Source organism: Homo sapiens, chromosome 3 (assembly GCF_000001405.40).
Source record: "Homo sapiens chromosome 3, GRCh38.p14 Primary Assembly".
Lineage (NCBI taxonomy): Eukaryota > Metazoa > Chordata > Mammalia > Primates > Hominidae > Homo > Homo sapiens.
Genome location: NC_000003.12, coordinates 133,277,314 through 133,302,868, shown reverse-complemented (window position 1 = coordinate 133,302,868; position 25,555 = coordinate 133,277,314). Strand labels below are relative to the sequence as shown.

The 25,555-nt window shown below is 40.8% G+C and overlaps 1 protein-coding gene across 3 annotated transcripts in view, besides 1 other annotated feature; it reads right to left on the bottom strand.

Annotated features, from left to right (window-relative positions):
- Window positions 1–25,555, bottom strand: part of TMEM108 (transmembrane protein 108) — a 359,385-nt gene that overhangs the window by 94,907 nt on the left and 238,923 nt on the right. The window lies entirely within an intron of this gene.
- Window positions 24,290–25,489: an enhancer, noted in NCBI's record as "BRD4-independent group 4 enhancer chr3:132996224-132997423 (GRCh37/hg19 assembly coordinates)". NCBI's record gives its function as "activates an origin of replication core promoter dependent on BRD2, P300/CBP, MED14 and CDK7 cofactors, and independent of BRD4, by STARR-seq in HCT116 cells {active_cell/tissue: HCT116}" and the evidence as "EXISTENCE:reporter gene assay evidence [ECO:0000049][PMID:35650434]".

Genomic DNA, 25,555 nt, shown 5'->3' with positions numbered 1-25,555 from the left:
AGAGCAGGCATGGTGCACGTGTGGGGTGGCCCGAAGATACCCAAATGCTGTAGGATAACATTGATCTAAAGGGTCAATGTTACCAAACAATTCGAGTAAAAATACTGTAATATTAAACTGAGATTAGAATAGAAAATTCAAGAGATACTGGCCGGGGGCGGTGGCTCACGCCTGTAATCCCAGCACTTTGGGAGGCCGAGGCGGGAGGATCATGAGGTCAGGAGATCGAGACCATCCTGGCTCACACGGTGAAACCCCATCCCTACTAAAAATACAAAAATTAGCTGGGCATGGTGGCGGGTGCCTGTAGTCCCAGCTACTCGGGAGGCTGAGGCAGGAGAATGGTGTGAACCCGGGAGGCAGAGCTTGCAAGTGAGCCGAGATCACACCACTGCATTCCAGCCTGGGCGACAGAGCAAGATTCTGTCTCAAAAAAAAAAAAAAAAAAAAAAAGAAAGAAAGAAAAAGAAAATTCAAGAGATATTTGAAATTTTACATTTTTAAGTGTTTTTGGAATATCTGCAGTTCACCAATGGTGTAAATTCCCTCCTAGGTAAAGTCTGGTAAGCAGTGTGTGTGTGTGCACACCCGTGCACGCGCACGCATGCACTCATGTGGTTACACTGATGTGTCACAGTTTGGGTTTTAACAAGAAAATGAGCAGTGAGATGCACGGCATCACAATTCCAAGCTTCAGACAACAAAAATGGCAAGATCATGGATTCACTAGATTTAAGAGCCAGTTTGAGCTTTAGACAATGATAGTGGCAAGATCACAGATTTGTGAATTTATAGACTCCCCCATTTGCCCTGCATCCTTCCTTCCTCAGCCATTTTACAGGTGGGAGCACTGAGGCTTAGAGATGCAGTGAAATTCTTAGGGTCATCCATTACATCAGAGGCAGAGGAAGGGCAGGGAGCTGAGTTTCCTGTCTCCATGGGAGTTGGGTGGGTGTGTTTGTGGAGGGCTTCCTGAGTTGCACCCACTCTATATGCAAATCAAGACAGGAAATGGCAACAAGGAAGAGTGATAATGTAAAGCTTAAACCATGATTCTACCCAACATTGAGTGTTTTTGTGCTGGTCTTTGAATATTAGGAATATGGGATGAAATTCAATGAAAATGATAAAGTTAGTCGGTACAGGCTTGCAGAGAGTATAAAACTGAAAATGACTGTGTTAAATGCTTTTCTATTACTTGTTTTTTCCCCTAATCCCATCCAAATAATCACTTTTATCTCCTAAATATGCATTGTTAAGAATCCCCCAAAGTAATTATTAACAAGTGAGCTAGCCGGTGCTTGTAAATCATTTTACAAACACAAAAGGCTCTGCAAATGTTTATTCTCATTACTGAAACTAATTCAAAAATGGCATAATATAGTATTTCCAGATAATGCTTTTCAGCAATGCCCACTGTGCATGATAGGAAATGACACAGTTCATTCCTGAACTGTGGTTAAACCTATGAGGTGAGCTGAGAAAAATGCATTTTCCACTTTCCTGCGTCGAGACAACCAAAATGACCAGATAGGAGTCCTGCACTTCTTGGAGTTATTCTTTCAAGCCTGTGACTCATGGAATACATGCTGCTGTTGTATAAAATCCTTTAATGTTCATTAGGTCCTAAGAGCAAATCTTGAAAGAAGAATGAAGTGAGGCACCTTGCTTGGCATTAGAACTGACTGCGGACTTGCAGGATGTGTACTTGGCATCAAAGGGACAGGGAATAAGAGATCTTCCAATAATACTCTTTAAGGTTCCTTACACGCTCTGTGAACATCAGCCTCTAAAACAGAGATGCCTCTTATGTCTCAAAACAAAGTAGAACTTGTGTGTGTGTGTGTGTGTGTGTGTGTGTGTGTGTGTGTGTGTGTGTGTGTGTGTGTGTGTACTGGGGTCTGTATTAATTGTATTTTTTTTTTCTTTATTCTTACGCTGTGGCATCTGAGACCTTCTGCATCTGGGTAGGGGTTGACCCTTCCAGGGTTAGATAATTCCTAGAGATAGTAAACTTGTCTGCAAGCACACCTTTGATGTGCAAATCCACCAAACCAGAGTTCATATACCTCCCACCCCCCATCTCCTTTAATCAGTCTCTTGCAGTCCAGGACACTATCCCTCAGCCCTAATCACTCCAGGGCTAGGTACCTGGCAACCAGGGACAATCCCTATAGCCCAGAGCCCACTAAAATCATTCAAACTAAACCTGTCTACCATGGTTACCCTGCCTTACCCATTTCTTTTTATAAAAACCACAAAAAGGCTCTCTGCGTCCTCATTAAACCTGGTGCTTCCCCATGTGGCACTGCATGGTGTGCAGTACCTCCTCTTTCCAGGGATCTTTCTGAGTATAAACTTCTTCCTTCATGACAGTCATTTCCACGTCTGCAACTCTTACCACATCTGATGAAAACAAATCCCAGCTACATGTTTAAAAAGAGGTCCCTTACCCAGTTGCCGCCAAAGTAAAAAAACAGGGGTGGGGTGATAAACCTAATTCATCTGAACACATCCTCAATTCCCCTCTTTGTCTGGGACTCTTGCTGCAGGACTGGCTGTAGGTTGCCAGGCAACACCATCAGGTATCCTGCATACTGCCTACGGACATTAATCCGTCTCTTTCAGGTCTTATTTACTTACTCATTTTACATTCTTAAATGTGGTCAGGACCACCACCCACCCCCCCATACCAGCCACAGGGTATTCTTGCTTATTTAAACAAACATTTTGGAGGCTTTCAATGCTTGATAAATGATACAGTGAGCTATGGAGTAAGGGAAGGTGTGGACCAATGAAGTAGTCTACCGATTCTAACTATGCCATTAACACACTTCATTGAGGCCTCTTTGGCTCACTGCAATTTACCTGAACACTTAGGGGTAGAAATCAGCTGTTTCTATTTCTTCTTACTCTGACATTCCACTTTTCTCCACTCTGATTTTCAGATTTATCACTTCTATGTGATAGGAAGACTGTTTTAATAAAATGTGCTAATGGGATATGGTAATTACATTTATAATTGGGAAGAATGGGGAACAGATGTATGATTGTTAAAACTGGGATGGTCCAGGAGAAGAACGTCCCTCTGCCAGAAGAGTGTGTGTGTGTTGGGTTGAAGACGTATGATGGCCTGGCTCTCCCAAATGGAAATTGTCTTCAGTTTTTGATATTATGATATCATTCTAAGCAAAGAAGAACAGTGGGCCTGTGCCATATATGAGAAAACATAAAGAAATGCCCTGTGAGATATCAGGACCTGTGACAATTTTGGCCCAACATCAGCTGGAAAACCTTAAGCATGATGAGGGCATAATCTTCATGAGCTCCTCTGCTCCAAGTCATCTTCTATATAAACGTACTGCAGAAGGGAAAACCTATGCTTGCCATGCAAACACGGCTTCACAACAAGTCCCCTTAGCACCTCCTTCCAAAGGGACTGCCAACTCCAACCCCGTCTATACAGAAATTCTAGAGAACACGGCTTGACCTCCAAACCAAACTTCTGTCTACAGGATGTCAAAACATCAAGGTTGAAGGAGAAAGACTAAGCTCAACTGTTGGTTAATCTATCTGCCACTAAAGAGCTATTCTGTTTTTATTTCCCTACTGAAATAAATAAAAACAGTTTTTCTTATTTGAAGAGTGGCTTTACGGCTGCCAAGTCAACCAGGAGACAGTAATTGAGCACTAGCTGGCTGCAAGGTATCATCCAACATCTGAAGCCTTCATTTTCACTAAACTGTGAGCTTTATATAGTTTCCCCTTATTGTTCCTAGATTACACTGGCCATGAATCAAGCACTAACAAACTCATGAAAAAGTGTTCCTTCTCCCCACAGTTCAGATTTCCCCAATGGGAATTCATGTAAGACTGTCACCCCTGTCTGTCAGCTCAAAACAGCAAGTGTGGCAGGCAGATCTCTTGGAAAACCTATCCTAAACAAATAATCCAGAAGAATAAAATGCCACAGGCAGCCGATGGTCTTTGTAGTTTTTTATAATTATAAAAAACTATAAGCAGTTTAAATATTAAACAGTAGAAAGGTGGTTAAATAAAATGCCAGCATAGCATAGTGGTTATGAGCACAGCTGAGCACACGCCCATCTCTGTCACTCACAACTCTGTGTCCTTGGGCAGGTAGCCTAACCTCTCAGCCTTGGTTTCCTCACCTGTAACATGGGCATAATATGGTTGAGTGTGAAACGAATTTATAAATATTATGAGAATGAACTGCATTAATATTTATTATAATATTTATGTACCTGATACACAGGAAGCACTATGCAAGCATTTGATAAACAAAGTGGTACCTGTTCTAGAAGAAGAATTTTACAGCTTTTACAAATGATTATCAAGAAACAAGAAAAAAGTCCCATAAAATCACAAGCACTCTAGGTAAAATACGAATATGAAAATTCACCAGGGGACTAGATGAAATAAACATAGTTGTATTGGGTTGAGAGGATCTTCTGCTTTCCAGACATTCTGTATTGCTTTTGTAAGTCAAAGAAGTTTTGAGGAGGCTTGGAGAGGGTTAGAAGAGGAAGGCGCTGGAAGAAACATTCTTCTTGGGCCTCTGATTGAAACAAATCACTTGGTCCTTCTGGCAGAGCTGGGAGGGTTGTCTGCTCTACCCAGAGAGTTAATAGAATCCTACTAATAAAAACTATCTTCAAAGAGAAAGACAGATGAAGAGAGAGGTTTCATCAGCCAGAAGCCAGGAAGACAGTCTAAAGTCAGTGGGGCTGCCACCTCCTTGCTACCTGCTCCAATTCTCTCCAGTAGCGTGGCTCATCAGGGGAGGGCAGGAGCTCAGAGCATCCTGGCAGATTAGATGGCTGGACAAAGAGATCAAAGCATCTGAGACTTACAAGGTAGGGATGCATTACTCTCATTTGTCAGGGACTTGTGCACATTTAGTGAAATAAGTATCTCCAATAATGGGAAAGAGGTGTCAATACCAACATCAACACAAACTACCAATGTCAAGGCCAAACATTCCTTCCTTTCCTCATTCTCTGATCTCAGTATCTTATCAGCTTTCGCCTGGAGGGGTGCTTGTTCTGCAGTGTAAAGCAACATGAATACAGCAGTGTGCGCCCTCTGTGTTCATGTGGTCCCCACCACTCCTTTTGCTCTCTTCTTACAGTTCTTAAGACTAGAAAGAAACCTCAGAGATTGCCTCAGCCCACTGGCTCTCAAGACTGACCCATAGCCTACTGCTGAAGTGACTGAGAATCTCCCAGGGAACTTAAAGTTCCCTGGCCTTATGAAGTAGCAGTTCTGGGGTGGGGCCCAGGATTCTGCATTTTTAGTCTCCCCCCACCCCCAGGTAAATCTCAGTTATGTGTGAGAATCAGAAATCATCTAGATCATGTTTAGTGAGAGGAAGCGACGAGCCTGAAGCTTTCCCTCTTTCTTCTTTCAATCACTTTCTATTTTCTTCTCTTCTTTCACTGTACTTCGTCCATCTTCCTCTACATCTCTTAAAATCTGTCTCTTTTTCTGAGCTGGGATTTGCATTTTAACTACAAAAATGAAAACCCTCAGTTGGGGGAAAGAAGGCTGACAATCTATTTTTGCTAATAAACATGCTGGTGCTGTGTCAGCATGGTCCAATACCCTGACATCTGTCTCAGGCAGAGGGAAGTGTGCCTCAGCCACGCACACATCTGTCCTGGCAACTACAGCGAAGACACAAATGAAATACTCTGAATTAAATTTGCGTGAGCTATAAGCCTAATGAGCATTATTAGCGTATCTGCATGCATTTAAGAAAAAGCTACTGTTAGCCTGATATTGTTCGGACCTCCTTCAGAGACCAAGAGGATCTGAGAATTTAAGCTCAGACCTGGGCCTTGTTCTATTGTCTTGACTGGTTATCTGGGGACTAGACCACCACCATCCCCCCAACCATTAAGAAAGTGGGGATAGTTGATATCACTAGGGGGGCTATCATTCTCACTGGCTAGTACCCTCTATTCTTCCTTCTACCTGATGAGAAAATTGTCTGCAGAGATTCTATACTTGAGAATTAGCTAGACATGCTTTGCATTCTAACCTAATTTCTGACAGTCATGCTGGACACTCCCTCTATGTGTGCTCCTAATCCTTCTATGCCAGCTCTCAGCCCCACTGTCCATCAACAGCCCCCAAGTCCCCCCTGTCCTACTCTACCACTCACTGACACACGGGTTGCTTTGGATTAGGGATGTTCCTTTTCCAGCCTGTCCATCTCCCTACAAGGACTGGGACAGAGATCTGGACAAATATAAGGCTCAATGAAGACATCAGACTACTGCTTTTTATTAGTGTGTGTTTTTTTTTTTGGCAGCCTAGCAACCTGGTATTAATAGCTTAATACTTATGTGATACTTCGTTAGCCTGGCTAGTTGATATTTCGGGTCTGGGAACACAGGGAAAAACATGTGATTTCTTTGTGCATAAATATAAATCCCCATGAGGGTTCTAAGCCCCTTGACTCTGGTGTGTGTGTAATTCCTGTTTTAAGAATGCAAATGTTATTCTGCATTTAATGAACTCAAAAAAGCAAGGGCTCTGGGGGCAGATACTCCGAGATTTAAATCTTGGCTCCACCAATTTGACAGCTTTAACGATTCTTCTATTACTTCTGCTTTGTTTTTTGCCTGCCTTTGATATATAGGAAAATTCTTTAGAAAACTTAAACATGACTAAGAGAAAACCAAAACAAAAAAAGGGGGGTGCTTTTCCTAATGTTTGAACTAGACATTAAGGGTAGATATGCACTCAGACATTAGACATGCTAGAAACAGCAGGAATGAAAACAAGACAAGGATACTTTTTTTGGGGGGAAAATAGTCAATTTGGACAAGAGCCCTTCTCAGTTTTAAAGTTATCCGTCCAGCTCTTTCATGTTAGTAAGAGAGGTTGTTCCCCAATAGACAGTCCTGTTACCGTTTTTTGGCAACAAATTATTTTCATTCAGGGGGCCTTGGTGAACTGTGTACCCCACCAACATGTGGGTTTTCTTTTCTTCAGCGGGCCCAGCTGCAATGCTGATGTTGCTTATCCAACATCATAACTTCTGGCCTGTAATTACGTTTTCCCATGAAATTACAAGGCAAAGTAATGTAACCAAGTTGCCCAGAAGCCAGTGGTGGCCTTAACATTGCACTCACTATCTCCCTCCTGGCTCTCTCAATGTCCCACAGGATCAGGAAGAATCTGGACTGGAGGTTGGAACATCTTGGATTCCAAGCCTGGTTTTACCAAATAATGCTTTTGGGCAAGTCACTGCACACTTCTGCTCTTCTGAAAAGTAAGGAGGGCCTTTCTAGATAACAATAATAACAACTCAACCTGACAAGGGGCTTTATAGTTCACAAAATGCTCTCAGGATGTTTCATTTCATGCTGACTACTTGCCAGGTAGGCATATGAGTCATCAGCCTCTCCAATTACAGAGAATGAAACAGTGGGCCCAGGAGTTCCCTAATGGGCCTACCACCACATGCTAGACGATGGTGAGCAGGGAAGCTAAAGCTCTAGGTTCTCAGCTCCTTGCTCTCCTTACTTCTCCATCCCTCCCTCCAGAAAAGCTTTGCTCAAAGCCTCCTTCCAGATCTCAAATGCTATGGTTCTCAGGGTTCCGGGCAAACTTTTTCTAGTTTCTGCATAAAAAAATTTGGATAACTGATGTCAATCTCCAAACTTGCCCTTTTAATGAAATAAACATTTAAAAAAGTGCTTATGATCTAAATGTTAATAATATGTGACTGCAGCATCTCAAATTTTATTTAAATTCATCATTTTACCATAATTTGTTGTTACAAAAGTACCTAGTGGGGAGGGGATACTTCATAAATCAGTGGTGAAAGACTTCCGTTTACTTGATAGATAAACCCCAAGTACTTTTCTCCACTGTAACACTCCCAGGTTGGTGAAATTTGATTTCAGGCAAAGAATGTACATTATTCAGTTAGTGGTTCTGTTCTCATTAGATTGAAATGGCACATACATTAATTTCTTTATTAAAAATTCTTCAGGAAATAGGACATATGGATGCTTTAAATCTCATAAATCTGAAATTACCCCAATTGTGAATCAGCCAACATTATTAAAGGGAATGTGCTGGCCTACAATTTCCTGAACTTCACCATCTCAGTAGCAGCCATTTAATAAAAGCTAATGTGCATTTAGTTTTAATTAGTTTCCATCAGTAGTTACAGAAGTTTAAAAAATAATTAAGCAAACCAATAAAAATACATCTCAATATTGCTACTTGGGAATTAAATTGATTCTATCCTTCTGCAGATAAGAGAATTATCATAGGAGGCAAATCCCCCATCTCCAGAAATAATCATTATATTGGTATTTAAATTAAATTATCCGGAAAGAATCATATTTGAAGGAAGTAGAGAAAACATCCTGAGATGAGTCATCATGAGGTGATGGCTCTGGGACATAAGGCTGTGTGTTTTTGTATTCTCATAGTTTTCTTTAGCTTCTCAACCCTAAATTGCATTTTTTAAAAAGTAAATAACACAAAAATGGTGGCTTCACTTTTTATTACCTAATTCTTCTGAGAAGTTCTGAGAATTTTAGTGCCATGTTGCTATCAGCTCAAAATAACCCTAAGGTTGGAAGATTTCTACTGTACAATAAAGCTTTCTTCCTTATATTTAACACTATCACTTATTTTCTGCCTGAAGATGCCGTGCATTTTTTATAAGGATGAAAAATATAAATGCTTATTACCCAGAAAAGCACTTCTAGTAAATTAAATTCATTCAAATCACATCAAATAAGGCAAAGAGGACCAAACACTTACAGAGAGTGGTACATTAATATTCAGTCATAACAAATCTGAGACTTTCTGCACAGTAGCCTGGTCTATCTTTGGCAAAGGATGGCAGTGTTCCAGTTTGCAACATCTCCCCTTGGTGTACGGAAGCTGATTTCTATGTTGCCAGCTGCCACTGGATGCAATTTTAAAATTCAAGTTGACAACCTCTTAACTCTTCTGTTATACTCTAATTGAGGTGATGGTCTCTGCTTCCAATCTGAACTAGACAAGACACTGTGAGATAAGAGGAATCTTCAATATGTTAAAAAAAAACCCTCACACACAAGATGTAGGCATGTTCTACTTCAATTTCATGTAAGTGGAGAAAAAGAAAATGGACTTAAGCTGCACAAAGAATGCTCATGCTTGACGAGTTAGCCAGCAAAACCACTCAACATCCGTCTTAGGAAGGAACTAAAAATAAAGGGTCCTAGTTATGCTTGAAAGTTGGCACTGGCATAAGGCAGGAAGTTGGTGAGATGAATCCTTAAGATCCACTCGAATCCAGGAATGTGTATTTTATTATTAATCTTTGGTCTTGAGTGCATCTAATTCAATACTGGACAGTGTCCAAACCTCATTCATTTAATAGCCAACAATTTAATTCCCAAGCCTAACATAGAACCTGGCACATAGTAAGCCAACACTTGTCAAGGGCTTACTATGTGCCAGGCTCTGTGTTAGGCTTGGGAACAGATACAAAGAAGAAGGTTTCTACCCTTGAGGAGTGTGATAAAGGCTTTCATGGAGAGAAGTGCTAAATTTGATGAGAATTCAAAGGTAGGCATGATTGATTCATCTGTGGACTCAGTGTTGAAGAAAGTTGGAGGCTGGATCCTTTGATGAATGGCAGATGGTTTAAATGAATACTCTATCAATGAGAATTAACATTTCCTAAAAGGTATTTACTGGTAAACTAATTCCTCTTTGTGTCTCAGAAAAAGCAACTTGTCTTACAAGGTTAAATTATGCACAATTCTGTTCCCTATTGTTCTTAAGAATATTATGTTTATAGAATGTTACTCTTTTCTCTCAAAGCTCCATTCACCTAAGACATCACTTGTTATTCCTGGTCTCAGAAATAAAAGCATGCTAGTATACCAACTTTATAGATAGGGAAACTATGACCTAGAGAATGTCTCATTTGGCCAGTTATTTGGCTTAAGTTGGTGTAAGCAAGTGGCATATGAAATAGAACTGGAAGCCAAGCATCCTCTATCTCAAGCCCAGAGCTCTCTACAAAGCTTTGCTTGATCAAACTGCTAAGTTCAGAATTTTACAGCAGGGGAGTTGTGGCTAAGGCATCTGTGTCTCTGAGAAAAGGAGAGGGCTTTGGTGCTTTAGAGTTTGAAACAGATGCTTTAAAAAAAACTTTATAAAAACTGTCTCCAGGGTCCCCATAGCAGGCAGGCTCTGAAACAAAACCACACGTGCCTACCACCTAATTGCAGAACACTTGGGTGGGCTGTTCATGCCTGACACATTTTATAAGCAGCAGAATTCCAAGTTCCACGCATGTTGTTTATTTCTCTTATGATGACAATCAGTGCCAAAGCTAACAGCAAGCAAGAGGCAGACAATGGTAGGATCAAAGGAGAGCCTGAGATCAACCGAAACCCTGGCAATGGGCCTAATGAGGACTGGGCAAGGAAACCATCACTTTGTGAGGTAAAAACAATGGAACTGGAGGGGAGCTTAGCAGTGAAACCTTTATTTGAAGAAATCTTATGAAGAACCTTGATATTTATAAAACAACTTCTGTCCTACCTGAGCAGTTTTTTGGAGCACAGTTTGAAAACCTTGAACTTGCCACACATATTTCCTTATCCATACTTGCACACATGGCATTTTATATCCCATGTATAAAAAAAACATTCTCTTCTTCCCTTTACCAATCTGGTAAACTTCTACGCAACCATCAAGGTTCCCACAAAGTGTTTTCTAACAGAATCATCTGAGGCACTTCTTAAGAATACAAATTCATGGGCCTCATCCCAAATGTACTAAATCTAGATTTCTCTTGTTATCAAGCTCCTGAGGGGATGTATTCAGATGTGCAGTCAGGGTTGGGAACCACTGCAGATCCTGCTCAGCCAAATGATTTTCAACAAGACATGACTTACAGTGGGATTAACTCTGAATGTTTTGGGAAGGGAGGAAGGCAGTAGAGAGATCGTGTATGTCTGTACTTTGTCAAGAGTCTGGAGCTGAGAAAGGCCGAGATAGATGGGAAAGGAGTTGAAACGGCTCCAGGTACCTTGAGGAACCCTGCCTTCTGCATCTTAGGCAGCGTAATATAATGAGTTTGATGGCTTCATTAAGGACAAGTTCAGGGACATAGGACATCTAAGGGGCTTATAATAATAATAATAAAAATTCCACCTCTCTCTTGGATGAGGCTCAGAGAAATTCCATAGCTCCATGAAGGTTGCTGCTGTCCCATTAAAAAAAACTCACTGGTAGGCCTGGTGTGCTGGCTCACGCCTGTAATCCCAGCACTTTGGGAGCCCCAGGTGGGAGGATCATTTGAGCCCAGGAGTTTGAGACCAGCCTGGACAACACAGGGAGACCGTGTCTCTACAAAAAATAAAATTAGCTGGGTGTGGTGGTACATGCTTATGAGCCCAGCTACACGGGAGGCTGAGATGGGAGAACTGCTTGAGCCTGGGAGGTTGAGGCTGCAGTAAGCTGTGATGGTGCTACTGCCCTCCAGCCTGGGCAACAGAATGAGATCCTGTCTCAAAAATAGACAAACAAACGACAACAACAGAAAAAAAAAAACTCCACGGTGGTAATTTAAACTTGTTTTTTCTTCTGGTATTTCCATTTATATGGGCTTTATAGGGTGACAGAAAGAAAACAACCCACTGCTTGTTTTGATTGATGGTTCTAAATTGCTATTAGAACAACATTTCTGGGATTGACCTCTGTATGTTATACATGGCTTGATTAAAAAATTCTCCTTATGGCCCTTTGCTCCCATCTTCACAAAATATCTCCATACAAAAGCAAAATATTATTATATGAGCAGCTGGTGTTAACACAGTGTTGATCCCATTTAAAACATCTCACCATTTTAGTTAGTGTCATTTACCATCTGAAATCATAACATGACTTATTTGCATAAAATCTCTGGGCCCTTCTTCATTTCTCATTGCAAATGAGGTATAGGGCTGAGCTGGTGTGATTTTTATTACCTTTGTTCCCTCATGCTCCAAAGTTCAGGTTCCACTGGAAAAAGTGAAGGTAATCCACAGAGAAGAAAAAAAGTTACACGCCATTTTCTTTTGCTTTTTCATTAATCACTCTATCTGATGCAGGCTAGTTCCTGTCAGTTTCCTATTTGTTGTATAATTTAACTTCAGGGTTCTGTTTCTGAATCGGTTTTTTTGTTTATTTGTTTGTTTTGTTTTTTTTTTCAGATGCAGTTTCACTCTGTTGCTCAGGCTGGAATGTAGTGGCACTAACTTGGCTCACTGCAACCTCTGCCTTCTGGGTTCAAGTGATTCTCCTGCCTCAGCCTTCCCAGTAGCTGGAATTACAGGAGTGCACCACCATGCCCAGCTAAGTTTTGTATTTTTAGTAGAGCTGGGGTTTTGTCATGTTGGCTAGTCTGGTCTCAAACTCCTGACCTGAGATGATCCACTCAGCTTGGGCTCCCAAAATGCTGGGATTACAGGCGTAAGTCACTGCACCTGGCTGAATCAGCTTATGAAGAGAAGAACTAAGTCTCATAGAAAAGGGTTAGAAAACAAAAAAGAGAGAGATAGCTAAGTGGTTGATAGTTCTCTCACCTCTTTCAGGTCTTTACCAAATTGTCAGCTTAGGGACGCCTTCCCTGGTCACCTTGTCTAGAATTTCACCTCCTCCCTGCCCTCCACATTTCCTATCCCCTAGCCTGCTCTGTCCCCCTCTTCTTAGCACTTACCACAATCTAATAGGATGCATGCTTACTGTTAATCCTGTTTATTGTCTGTCTTTCCTCCCAGCAGACTCATCGGGGCAGGGACTCTGCTGTCTTGTTCACTGCTATATGCCCCCATCTGCACAGTGCTTGGAACATAGTAAGTGTTCAACATGTATTGGTTGAATGGATATGTGAATAAACACACATTGCTTCTAATGAGGGGGGTGAGCCAGCTTAGGGAACAAATACTTGGATGGTCCATGTTTTAGCTTCCACATCTTAGGTGGCATAACGTAATGCAGGGATTCCCAAATGTTTTTGATTCGAGTGGCCCTTGGTTAGGTCCAAAAAACTTAAAAATTTATAGCCTAACAACTTAGTAGCCGTTTGAAAAAAATTACATATAAAGTGAGAGAAAAATGATTTCATTCTTAAATCTGCCCTTACTTCCTAATGGGATATGTATACCTAAAGGGCACTACACTACTTTTCAAACCTCACAGTCGGATTGCACACCATTACCCACAGTTCCTGTTCCACATTGATTTTCACATGGTGCTTGCCCTCAATGACAAGTGCTGAAAACCCAGCTTGCCAAAGAAATGACATCATCAAAAGGAAGGTAGTGAGATCTAATGTGGAAACTGTGAATTTGAGCTAGTATGGTAGTTCACGTGGTGTCTGACTGATGTCGAGTACTGCTGTGCTTCCATCCACAGTCAGTTCACTGTAGTACCCTAGGGCACTTTGGTGCTGTTTCATAACCTTGAGTACAGTGGCTGAATGCAGATTCTCTGAAATTGTGTGAACTTGGGCAAATTTTCCCATCTATAAGAAAGTGACAAGAATAATATCTACCTCAAAGTTTTGGTTATTCTTTTTATTATGGAGAAATTTCAAACGTACATAAAAGTGTGCAGGATAAAATGATGGACCCCCAAATCCCATCCCCAAGCCCCAAGAACCATTAAATCATGGCCAACCCTGTTCCAAACATACTTCTATGCTCCACTCCCCATAGTTAGGACATAAATTCCAGATCTCATCTGGAAATATTTCTATATTTAAAATATGTAAAAATTACTATTACTATATGGGGACTCACATGGTGCCTCATGGCTGTAATCCCAGCACTTTGGGAGGCCGAGGCAAGCAGATCACTTGAGGTCAGGAGTTTGAGACCAGCCTGGCCAACATGGTGAAACCCCATCTCTACTAAAAACACAAAAATTAGCCAGGTGTGGTGGCACACACCCGTAGTCCCAGCTAGTTGGGAGGCTGAGACAGGAAAATTGCTTAAACAGGAGATGGAGGACAGAGAGCTGAGATTGCACCACTGCACTCCAGCCTGGATGACAGAGCAAGATTCCATCTCAAAAAACCCCCAAATTATTATATGTAAAAATACCTCTTAATGAATTAATATACATAAAGCATTAAGCACAGTGCTGAGCATCCTAAAGTGTTAGGTATTATATATAAACACTCAATGCCTCCTCTGCAGGGAAGCATCATCAGACAGGTAGGAGGTGGAGTGTTTCATGTGATTTTCCACAACATAAAGGTACACCCATGATCACAGGGAACAGGACTGCTGCAAATGCACGTACCACTAGCGTATTTGAGCAAACATTCTCTCCACAAGGAACTTCTATTCACCCCCCCATGGAGAACACATTATGTTCTAAAGGCATCCGATTTAAAGAATACATATAAACAACCAAGTCACATCAAGCTTGGTCTGATTTCTTTGTTCTGGGTAGAAATATTCTTTGGGTGAGGGAAAGCTTAAGGCCACATCCATCTATCTTAACTCCTGCTGCTTTGGATGCAGTGAGGTTTTACTTAATTAACTGCATCAGAATGCTGCTTATCTGTTATAGCACAAATTCAGAAGTATTAGGAAAAATCAGTTTAGGGCAGGAGGTTGAACTTTCCTGAAACTGTCCTGCATACACATTTGATTGTGAGGAAGGTGGAGCTACTAATTTATCTAGTTGTTCAGGCATGAGGTGTATAAATGACCATGCGGGCAAGAAACAAATGCTCTTTTTTATTAACAATTTCACATAATTCTCCCTTCTATCCTGGGGCTTGATTAAAATGCAACTGAAATTGTCCCTCTTTTGGGATCTCCAGGTCCATCATGCTGAACCCAGCCTAAGGCTCCCAGTGAGCAAGGGATGACGTTGGGAACATAAAGTATATCTTTGATTTTTATGCTACAGCAGCAAAATTCTCCATTCAGTGCTTCTGAATTTGCTTGCTCTTGAACCTAAGTGATTATCTGTGTTCAACAAAGTTAAACAAATTATTGATCTATATATTTTTATTTTGAGAGTGTTTGGTAACCAATCTAAAAGAGGCCCTAACTAAAAACTTTTTTGGTTTTATTTAGTTTAAGAGCAAATTTTAAAATTAAACCATCTATAGCAAACATCTATTTGTTTTAGGTGATAAGTATATCTTAGAAGATGTTTTGAAATCTTATCAACATATCTTCTCTCAGTGTTCATTTTATCATCTACCATCATTATATTGTAATTTCTATCTAGCACCTCCCAGAGACAACTGACAATCCCATACAAAGGAGCAAGCAAAAACATTTTTTGGCAAACAGAATGAACTGGCTAGAAGTAACTCTATTAACCTCCAGGACAACCTACAGAAGAGAGGGTTGGGATTCAATAAAATCACATTTGTCAGTAGCTTGTTCAGGGAGTAGATACGCATGATATACTGCATTAGATACTTGACTAATCCATGGTGCTTTGTTTAAACCCAGTTTTTACTGGGTTAATAGAATCATTAACTGAGGTCACTCATACCCATAGATATACTCAACCTTGATCCTTTTTTTAAAAGGTTTTATAAGTAAGGTTTGGGAAGAATTTTAATCCATATTCTTTATAAGTGATCTGCTCATTAGCCCTAAACCTCACTATATAAAAATGTCTGGAGCAGGTGAGTTATTAAGAATACCAAAAACCATCTTGCCAGCCAGCCACAGCCTCAATTCTAGTAGCACCAAGGCAGGTCTTTGAGGGACCTGAGCCTCCTACTTGTCCAAGCTCCCTGCCTGTTTTTACAGCAAAGAAGAGCACGGGATTCAACTGTTGGAAGCGGAAAAATAGAGAATACTCAAATGTGGGTATAAACTAGTTGCAAATCTAAGAAAATAGGGTTAGAGAAGCAGATAGCAGAAAGAGACTACCTAAAAAAATCAAACCAATCCAACTCATATTGGTCTGTTTTCTGCTTTCCTGATAAGAGAAGTTTTTTTAGTTACTAAGGCAGTGGGGATCTAGAGATAGGATCTATGTCAGTGTTCAGTGGATATACAGGTGTGCTCAGGACCATTTAGTGGCCAACGGCCCAGATATTTCACTACTGTTTTGTTCCCCTTGCTATTATACTATGTAGCCCAAGGTTCATAGAGGTAGGAACATGTAAATCACATTTGAGAATTTTCAGAATTGTTGAAAAGCTGAGTATGGGCCTGGTGCAGTGGCTCATAGCTGTAATACCAGCAATCTGGGAGGCCAAGGCGGGAAGATTGCTTGAGCCTAGGAGTTTGAGGCCTGCCTAGGCAACATAGTGAGAGTCCCATCTCTACAAAAAAAAATTTTTAATTAGCTGAGTGTGATGGCATGTGCCTGTAGTCCTGGCTACTTGGGAGGCTGAGGTGGGAGGGTCCCTTGGGCCCAGGAGTTCAAGGTTACAGTGAGCTATGAAGACACCACTCTACACCAGCCTGAGCAGCAGAGTGAGACCTTGTTTCTAAAAAAAAAATAAATAAATAAAAGCTGGGTGTGGTAAATTAGAGATGACCACAGATTCTTTGCTGCTTCTCCCAATTATGTGTTTGTTCTATTTCTACAGGTTTGTGTGGCTCAGAAGAAGAGAGTTTTATCACTTTACATCATCCCATTGAGATACTATAGAAGGAGTTTATTGAAAATTTATGGGGTTCCACTCTGGAGGTAATGTTTGTCTTGATGTTTGATATTTCATTTATTAATTCAACGCACATTTACGGAAAACCTATTGTGTTCTGTCACACAAGTGACCAAATGCTTAGGGAATGATGAGGTAGTTGTGAAAGTCTTCATGTGTGTGCTATAACTGGAAATATTATTGGAGGGGACACCATTGGGTCAAGATAGCTTCGTAAGTTCATGTCATGAGGTGCCCCCTCCACCTCAAACACATAGCAATGCCAGTTATAATACAAAAATAGAAAACTAAAAAGATATGACTGGACTGCAAAACAAGATAAACATATCCAAGGGCCAGAACGAACAGAAAGGCAAAGCAGTGATGGGGGCTGAAGCAGCTGGGCGCCCAGTCTGGAGGCAGGCAGGCAGTGATGGTGGTCTAGCTCTTGCAGGAAAAAGGGACTAAAGTGACTCATAAAAACTAGGGGATCGGGATTAGGCTCATGGCCTCATGTTTGGGGCTAAGATAGGGCTCTTTTGCTTGAAAAAGTAGAGTAAAAAAATGTGCCATTGCTTGCTACTGCTAGGGGCTATAGCTTTTAGCAAGTGGTAGGTCTACAAAAGAAGAACAAAGACACGGTCTGATCAGAAACTGAACCAAGCTGCCTGTGCGTGCTTCAATATTAACAACGTCTCTCTGAGGCAAGAGCTTCAAAACACCATTTAAAGACATAATTCTAGACTGCTGTCCCAGTGGAGAATACTGAAAACCACTAAATAGGAAGGGTGGACTTCCTTCCCAACTCCGCTTCCCCCAGCCACAGAAAAAATAAATTATCTTCCACTTAAAATGAGCTTGAAAATCAAAATTCTAAAACACAAGAGGAAACCTAATACTAACAAAATCAGCGATTGCTTTTAAAATTTATTCTGCGTCTGTGTTATTTAATATGGTAGCCACTAGCCTTATGGATGATTTACATTTAAATAAAAATTAATTAAAATCAAATGAAATTCAAGGGCTCAATAGCCACCATATTGGACAGTGCAGATATAATTTATTTTATTGCACAGCACTGTAGATGAAATATATTTTACAAAACAATTCAGCAAGGATTTTAAAACAAATTTATGATGCTCAAAAGATAAATGAAGAAATATCTTCCACTTGAAAAAAGAAATTATAAAACAAAGAATGCCAAAATGAGGCAAGAACAAATAAATAAGAAAGCGTTGGTAAACATACTCATCAAAGTAAAAAAAAACAAAAAACAAAAAACTTGAAACATGGAATAAGCCTTAGGTAGTGATTCAAGAGAAGACAAAACTGAAGAATTAATCCAGGATGTAGCACAAAAAGAAAAACTGAAATGATCTTGCAAAAACTAGTTGAGAAGGAGGGTTGTAGATAATTCTTGGTTTGAATAAGATAGTGTTTTGTCATTAATCCGGGATGGTTTGAACAACAGAGGCAGCAATTCAGAAAAATAATATGCAAAGAAGAGAAGAAAGCCGTTTTTTGGAAGAGGTAAACTCAAAACAGCTGGCTGATCACCAAACAGTTCTTAGTCACAGCAGCCATGGGAGCTGGGATTCATCATTTCCAGGGATGTGCTGGCTGTGACCTTTCAGGCTCCTATCCTATGCAAAGAGGACAAGGTAGGAATGTCAGCCATTGTGTAGTGAAGGTGGCCATTTGAAGACAGACTGAAGGAACAAGGAGAATCTGTTGTTGGTGCTTAGAAACTAGTTTGCCTGAGAGAGGTAGGCCCCCAGGTGGGAGGCCTAAGCACTGCTAGCCCCTTGAACAAACGGCCCTTTCTATGTATAAATTACTTAGGACTCTGGGAAGTATGAGACTTTCAACAGAGGGTGTGAAGGTGGAGGAAAGGGCTAACCCTGCAGAATCCAGCATGATTCCACCTCTCTGACAGAGACTGAAGGTAGTGTCAAGAGCTGAGCAATAGAAATGGCTGGAACATGACATGCCCTGCAGGGGGATATATGCTGCCTCTTCCTGCTGTCTTGGAGCTGGTGACTAAATAGAGGAGCCCAAACAGAAGGATGAGAAAGACATAGCTGGCTGCAGGGCAAGCTACACCCTCCTCTGACCCTGAAGCACCATGCAATCTCTAATAGCCCAGTGGTCAAGAAGACTTCCTGTCAGAATGCTTTAGAACTGTGCTTTCCAGTATGGTAGCCACTAGGCACATGTGACGACTGAGTGCTTAAAATGTGGCTTGTCCACGTTTGCTACCTGGAAACATTCTGCACAAGTCTTGCCTCTTACATCTCTTGGTTCAGAAATGCTATTGCTGAGTTTTCTGAGTATCTGAGAGACACTAAATACGTGGCATATGAATTATAATTTTCAAAAACACAGACAGCAACACCAGACACCAACTACAATTTTATCTTTCTTTGAAATTTCAAAGTTCGCATGCGCTATCTCACTGCCATTGTTAGAAACATCAGTTATCAGCACACAGTACTATAATTGCTGAAGGTGTAAGAAATTAAGCTTCATCTGGACTGACCCTATGACAGAGGCTTGAAAGGTGTTTTTGGAAGAGTTCCCTGATTCAGTCTCTTATTTGTCTCACTTTCAAAAAGCAGACTATAGAGGAAAACTGCTAACTTTCTGGTTGCTCAGATTCTGAAAAAATAGCACTTTCCTGTAATTAAATTGTAAGGAGTTAATTGTAATTAAATTGCACAGCATATGAGAAAATCTGTCACTTCTCAGAATTAGCTCTGAGAATAAAACTGAAATGACAGGGTAATTAAGACCTGAAATGCAGAGGTTTTCAGATGGTTCTTGTCCAGGATGGAATACATGGTTATTTCCTGAAATCTTCGTTGCATTATTTTCCCTCACACTGGTAGATAATCAGAAAGATTACCACACCTCCATGCATAGGATGCTGGGTTATTAATCTGGGGAAGAAATTTTTTCTCTCCCTTTTATTTGCTTAAATCCAGAGGTAGATATAAACCACCGCCACCTCACTCTTTACAAAAATCCTATTTAAAAATATTTTTAAATGGCATAAATAATTATATTTTTAACATTTAAAATCTAAGTAATGCAGATAAGACAAAAATTCTCACCACTCTTGCTACCCCTCATCTACTCTGCTGCCCAGAGTAAACTGTTGCTACCTATTTGTGTGACCTTCCTGAGTTTTCTTGTTTACACACATACGTGTCTACACTAAGATAAGCCTTCACACAAGTAACACCATGCATTGGTTTTCATTTATCCATATGTTTTGGAAAACGTTCCATGTTAATACCAATGAACCTTGCTCTTTTTAACTGCTCCTTAGTAGTCCCTTAAATAGTGGTACTTTTTTTTTAAAATCAAATAATTTCTTTCTTTATGAGCATTTACGGGGCATTATGCCCCACTTTTCATTATTACAAACAATGCTGCAATGTACTTCACCTTTCATAAAGAGGCATGGAGACAGGGAGTAAATACATTTTTAACTTTACAAAAAACAGAAGGAGAAATAAAATTATGATGGGCAAATGGAGAAGCACAATAGCAAAACAATGGCGTGTTTTCAACTGGTGCCAGGTACAGGGGATTCTTCTTGGGTACCACCTGAAAACTTGAATTAAACATCCATGAATTAAAATGACAAGCTGAAGAAAGTGTTCTAAGCCCACCAGAGATGAAGAGTTTACGCAAAGATGTAAGAAACAAGATGACTGTGTAAAGAAACATGGATATGTTGTGGTGGGAGAAGAATGTAAATGAGACTGTGATCCTGTATCTCTGGAATCCAGCAGGGAGCTCCATGTAGCTTTAAATACAACTAGGAAAACCTGGGAAGGAGAGCCTTGTAAAGCCGTTTTAGAGTCCCTTTTGATTCTTATTTCCTTAATTACTCTCTTACCTCAAAGAAAAGCAGCAAAAGTACGTTTGGCAGAAAGGCCTGTGGCCAAGAAAACTCAGCTGGAGTCAAAATCAAAATTTTTCTAAAAATACTCTTTTGTCTTTGTCTTATTTTATTTTATTTATTTTTTTTTGAGACGGAGTCTCGCTCTGTCGCCCAGGCTGGAGTACAGTGGTGTGATCTCGGCTCACTGCAAGCTCCGCCTCCCAGGTTCACACCATTCTCCTGCCTCAGCCTCCCGAGTAGCTGGGACTACAGGTGCCTGCCACCATGCCCAGCTAATTTTTTGTATTTTTAGTAGAGACGGAGTTTCACCGTGTTAGCCAGGATGGTCTCGATCTCCTGACCTCATGATCCGCCCACCTTGGCCTCCCAAAGTGCTGGGATTACAGGCTTGAGCCACCAAGCCCAGCCTGTCCTTGTCTATCTTTTGGGATAAGCCATCATGTGCTGGGATATTCAACCGATTTAGTCTTACTAGTAGAAGGAGTCATAGGGATGATCAAACCCACCCTCTTACGCAGTAGAGAAGGTAACCAAAGCCCAGAGAGGGAAAGTGACTTGGGCAATGTCACAGAGCTGCTTAGCAGCAGAGGCAAGACCAGGAGAAATGCTACCCTGAACCAGCCCTCCGCTGCTCACTGTAGCATGCCTCATTATCACCACCCAGTGTGCCAGCTGCCGTTGTACTTCTGCCTCAAAGTACCACCTCTGCTCATCACTTTTTTAGCCACGTGACGTAACAGTTTTTGTTTAAACTAAACTACGCTGTCCTTGGTTACAATGCAAAGAAAAAGATGCTTAACAGCTATAATTGTACTTAGCTGTGTATGGTGTCTACCACAAAGGTTAACTTTTATCTGACGTTATAACTCTGCATACTCTTGAAGCCTGGTTTTTTGGTGAAACCACATACACACACCTGTGTGTGCACACCCTATTTTTTCTAAAGTGGTTATTTATTTTCCCATCAAAACCAAATTTAGAAACTCCAACAGAATGACCAGGCCCTGGCTCTCATTTTCCCGCTTTGATCTGACTATATTTAAACATGGGAACCCTCTGATTCCCATCCTCTCTTTTTTTGCCCTGCAGTTTAAACATTATTTACTCATTTCATTCAAGACTGTATTTCCTTCGTTGTGTTTGACTCTGGTAGACTGCAAAAAGGACTGCAGTTCTTCCCTTCATAGTATTTATGCCCCTTACAATGTGACTCTGAAATTCTTTCCCATCAAGAGGTGAAGTTTATTTTCCCATTCCTTGAATATAGGCTTGCCTTGTGACTTGCTTTGGTCAACAGAATATGGTAGAAGTGACAGTGTGAAAGCTTTAAGGTTGGACCTCAAGAAGTCTCATATATTTCCATCTTTATTCTCTGGGACACCTGTTCAGCCTCCACGTGAATAAGTTTGAGCTAGCCTGCTGTACCATGTGAAACCATGTGGATAAAGTTAAGTAGTCTCAAATGAGGTCATCTGAGACCAGCCATCCCTGCAATTCACTTGGCAGCTGAGCACAGAGGCATGAGTGAACCTAGTCAAAACCAGAAGGACTACCTTGCTGAATCTGGTCCAGGTTGCTGGCTTGTAGAACTGTAAGCCAAATAAATGATGGTTGTTTTAAGCCACTAAGTTTTTGGGGGCATTGTTATGTAGGAAAAGCTAACTGATATAGATCCCTTTATTTGTGTCCACAGGAATGTTAATTAAATCGGGCCTCACAGAGCAAATGGATTACGTTTCCTACTTAGTTCTGTACATTATCTACATGAGTAATGAAAATTTAGAATAAAAATTTTCTTGAAGGGAATGGGAAAATGGGAAAAACTGATGAACATTTGATTTTCACTTTCCCCCTACACTCAGCCCACCCCAACATCTACCGCCTGTGATTAAGGAAATAAATAGAAATGCACAGGATATAGAGCATGCCATTAATCAATGCTAGGGTAGTAAGACAAGAAGCAGAAAATTTTCTCTTTACACAAAACCATACAAAATATATATTGGGGAAAATCATCTGGGGACAGGGTGAAAACCGTGTAATTTTTCCTACATGTTGACTTTCCTGATTTTTGCTGCACTGTTTCTTTCCCTCTGTCTTGGAGTCTATCTCAGATAGGCAGCATCTCGTCTGCCCTGCTTCAGACTCCTCAGCAGGGGAGAAGAAACACCACCTCACCTGACTCCTCTGACTGGGGATCTTTTAAATCCTTCTTAAGCTCTAGACACTAACTTTTGGGGCTTCCTTCATGCCACATTTAACATATTAAAATGTGCCCACATCTCAAAATTTAATATAATCTACACAGAACTCTTAAGGGGCAACTTGCACTTGACTAGTTGGCATAATATTATATTTTACATCCAGCTAATTACACATTTTAGTATCTACTTTGCAGTTTCCTTTTTGTATCCTGGAGTCATTCTGTTGTTAATGTTCAGGTCTGAAACATTTTCATAGGCCCTGACAAGCTCATAGATTCTATTCTGGGCTTTGTGCCTGTAAGTGCTTAACAGGAAAGTTACCCTGACCTAGTTAATCAAACAACAGGCATTTACTGAGCACCTAATATCTATAAAGTGCTGTGCTGGAGTCTTCATCAGATTCATTCATTAGGCAGCCATCTACCATGTCCAGGCACTGAGTGTGGTACATGGCTGCTGGGAATGAAGATAAAGTCCCCTCAATTCCTGCCTTTGAGGGGTCTGCCTTAGCCAACCAAGGGATGGCCCGAAGTAGAGCAAATTCAAGAAACTGTGGAGTTACGAGAGGCCCCAGAATATTTTCCTTTAACCTACCCAAGGGTGAGCAGGGTCATTTAGGGTCATTACTATCTGCCACTTCCGGCAGCAAAGGGAGACCGGACAGGCTGTCCTAATTCTTACTTGCAAGTGACCTTGGGTTATGTCTTTACATTCCTTTCTCATCAAAACTAGGATGGTCTCATGATAGACATGGTGGTCTCCAGACCCAGACAGAAAGCAGGACTTGGGAGTAACAGGTGTCTCAAAACTCATAGCTGATTGTCGTACACCACAGTGATGATGGGGAGGTAGAACAGAGGATTTCGTCCATGCACGTAGACCTGTGCTGAGGCAGAAGTTGTGTCTAAGTGCAAGTGCTTACTTTGACACAGGGTGTTTTAACATCCACTACAGACTAGGCTGGTTTGCCCAACCCTCACAAGATACACTCGATAGTCTGAATAGGCAAAACACTAGGCCTTGAAGGGCCTGGTTTTAAGTAAGCCCCCTTAGGCCTCTTTAAAGGCGCCACCTCAAGAATCAACTCAAGGGTGGTGTTTTACCTCAGAGCTCCTCAAACTTTCATGTATGTCCTCAAACTTTTCATGAATGCTCCGGACAATTTACATGTTGTTAAAATGTAAATTCTAATTCATTAGGTCTGGGTGGGGCCTGAGAGTCTGCATTATTCGTTTTATCCCTGGTGATGTCAATGCTGAACTACACTGGGTAGCTAGGCTGTACATTACATAGCCCCTTACAGTTTACCAATTGTCTCCATGTATAGTCACGTGCCACATAAGGACATTTTGGTCAGTGAAGGACTGATATATGATGGTGGTAACATAAGATTATAATATTGGATTTTCATCGTACCTTTTCTATGTTTAGATATGTTTAGACATACAAATATTTACCATTGTGTTATAATTGCCTATAGTATTCAGTACAGTAACATGCCGTACAGGTTTGTAGCCTAGGAGCAATAGGCTATTCCATAGAGCGTAGGTGTGTAGTATACTGTACCATTTAGGTCTGTGTAAATACACTCTACAATGTTCACATAATGGTGTTAGCATGATGAAATCACCTACACACATTTCTCAGAACATATCCTGTTGTGAAGCAATGCAGCACTGTACTTTATCTCACTTGATTAATCCACCAACTATATGGAACACCAGTGTCCCCATTTTACAAATAAAGCAATAGGCTTGGAATGGACTGCTTTAAAATCACCAGCTACTAAGTGGCAGAGCCAGCATTCTAATTCAAGTCTTTTGATTTCTAGTTCAGCATCATTGCTATTCACTCACAGCTCCAGACATTTTTTTCTCTTTACTTTTACTTCCCATGTCTTGTGAGGTCATTTGTCTGAAGGTTAAAGTCCAGAGTTAATTCCATCCTTTTCAAAACTTTTAAGCCTATAACCTGACCTTGCTTCTCATGCCGTGTGGCAGCTGTGGAAGAAAAGATTTTCAAAAGCATTCTTGAAAAGGCTTGCCGTAGTTTTGTTCAAAGTGATTATGCCACTAGGAAATGAATCATGCTTGGAAATACTGCTTGAAGTTGCCAGCTGAATAGGCTTTCCACTGGGGTTTGCAATAAGAATGTTTCAAATGGGGCAGAGCCTGAGTCTCTGGTCCACAGATTTGGTGACAGATTGCTGCTCCTTGCACCTGATGAAAATACAAGACTCTGGAGCCATCAAGTCATGGTCTTTCTATGGAAACAAAGACATATTTAATTTTGGGGAAATATCTGTTGCATGGCACTCAGCAAGGTGCCTTGCAAACATCACCTCCAATCTCAGCAGAAAGGCTGTGAGGTAAGTTACAGTGCCCCATTTTACAGATTAGGAAACTAAGGCTCAGCAAGGTTAAATAGAACAATGCGGTGCCCGGCGGAATGCCAGGGCTGACTGAGTCTGGTGCCTGGGCTCTTACCACTACACCAAATCCTGAAACTGAAAGTCAGTGAAGTTCTAATTTGGGCAGCTCCTGATTCAGGGAGTCAGGGATCCTCACCTCTCCCATGGCTATCCCTTTGGAACATCTATCTTTGGATGGTGTCATGCTGTTATTCTTTTATCTTTTATTTAAACAGTTTATAGAAAAGTTACAAGAATAGTATAATAAACTTTTGTACTCTTTACAGAGATTTACTAATACGTAACTTTTTGCCACATTTTAAAGTGGATATGCATGACTGTATTTTTTTTTCTGA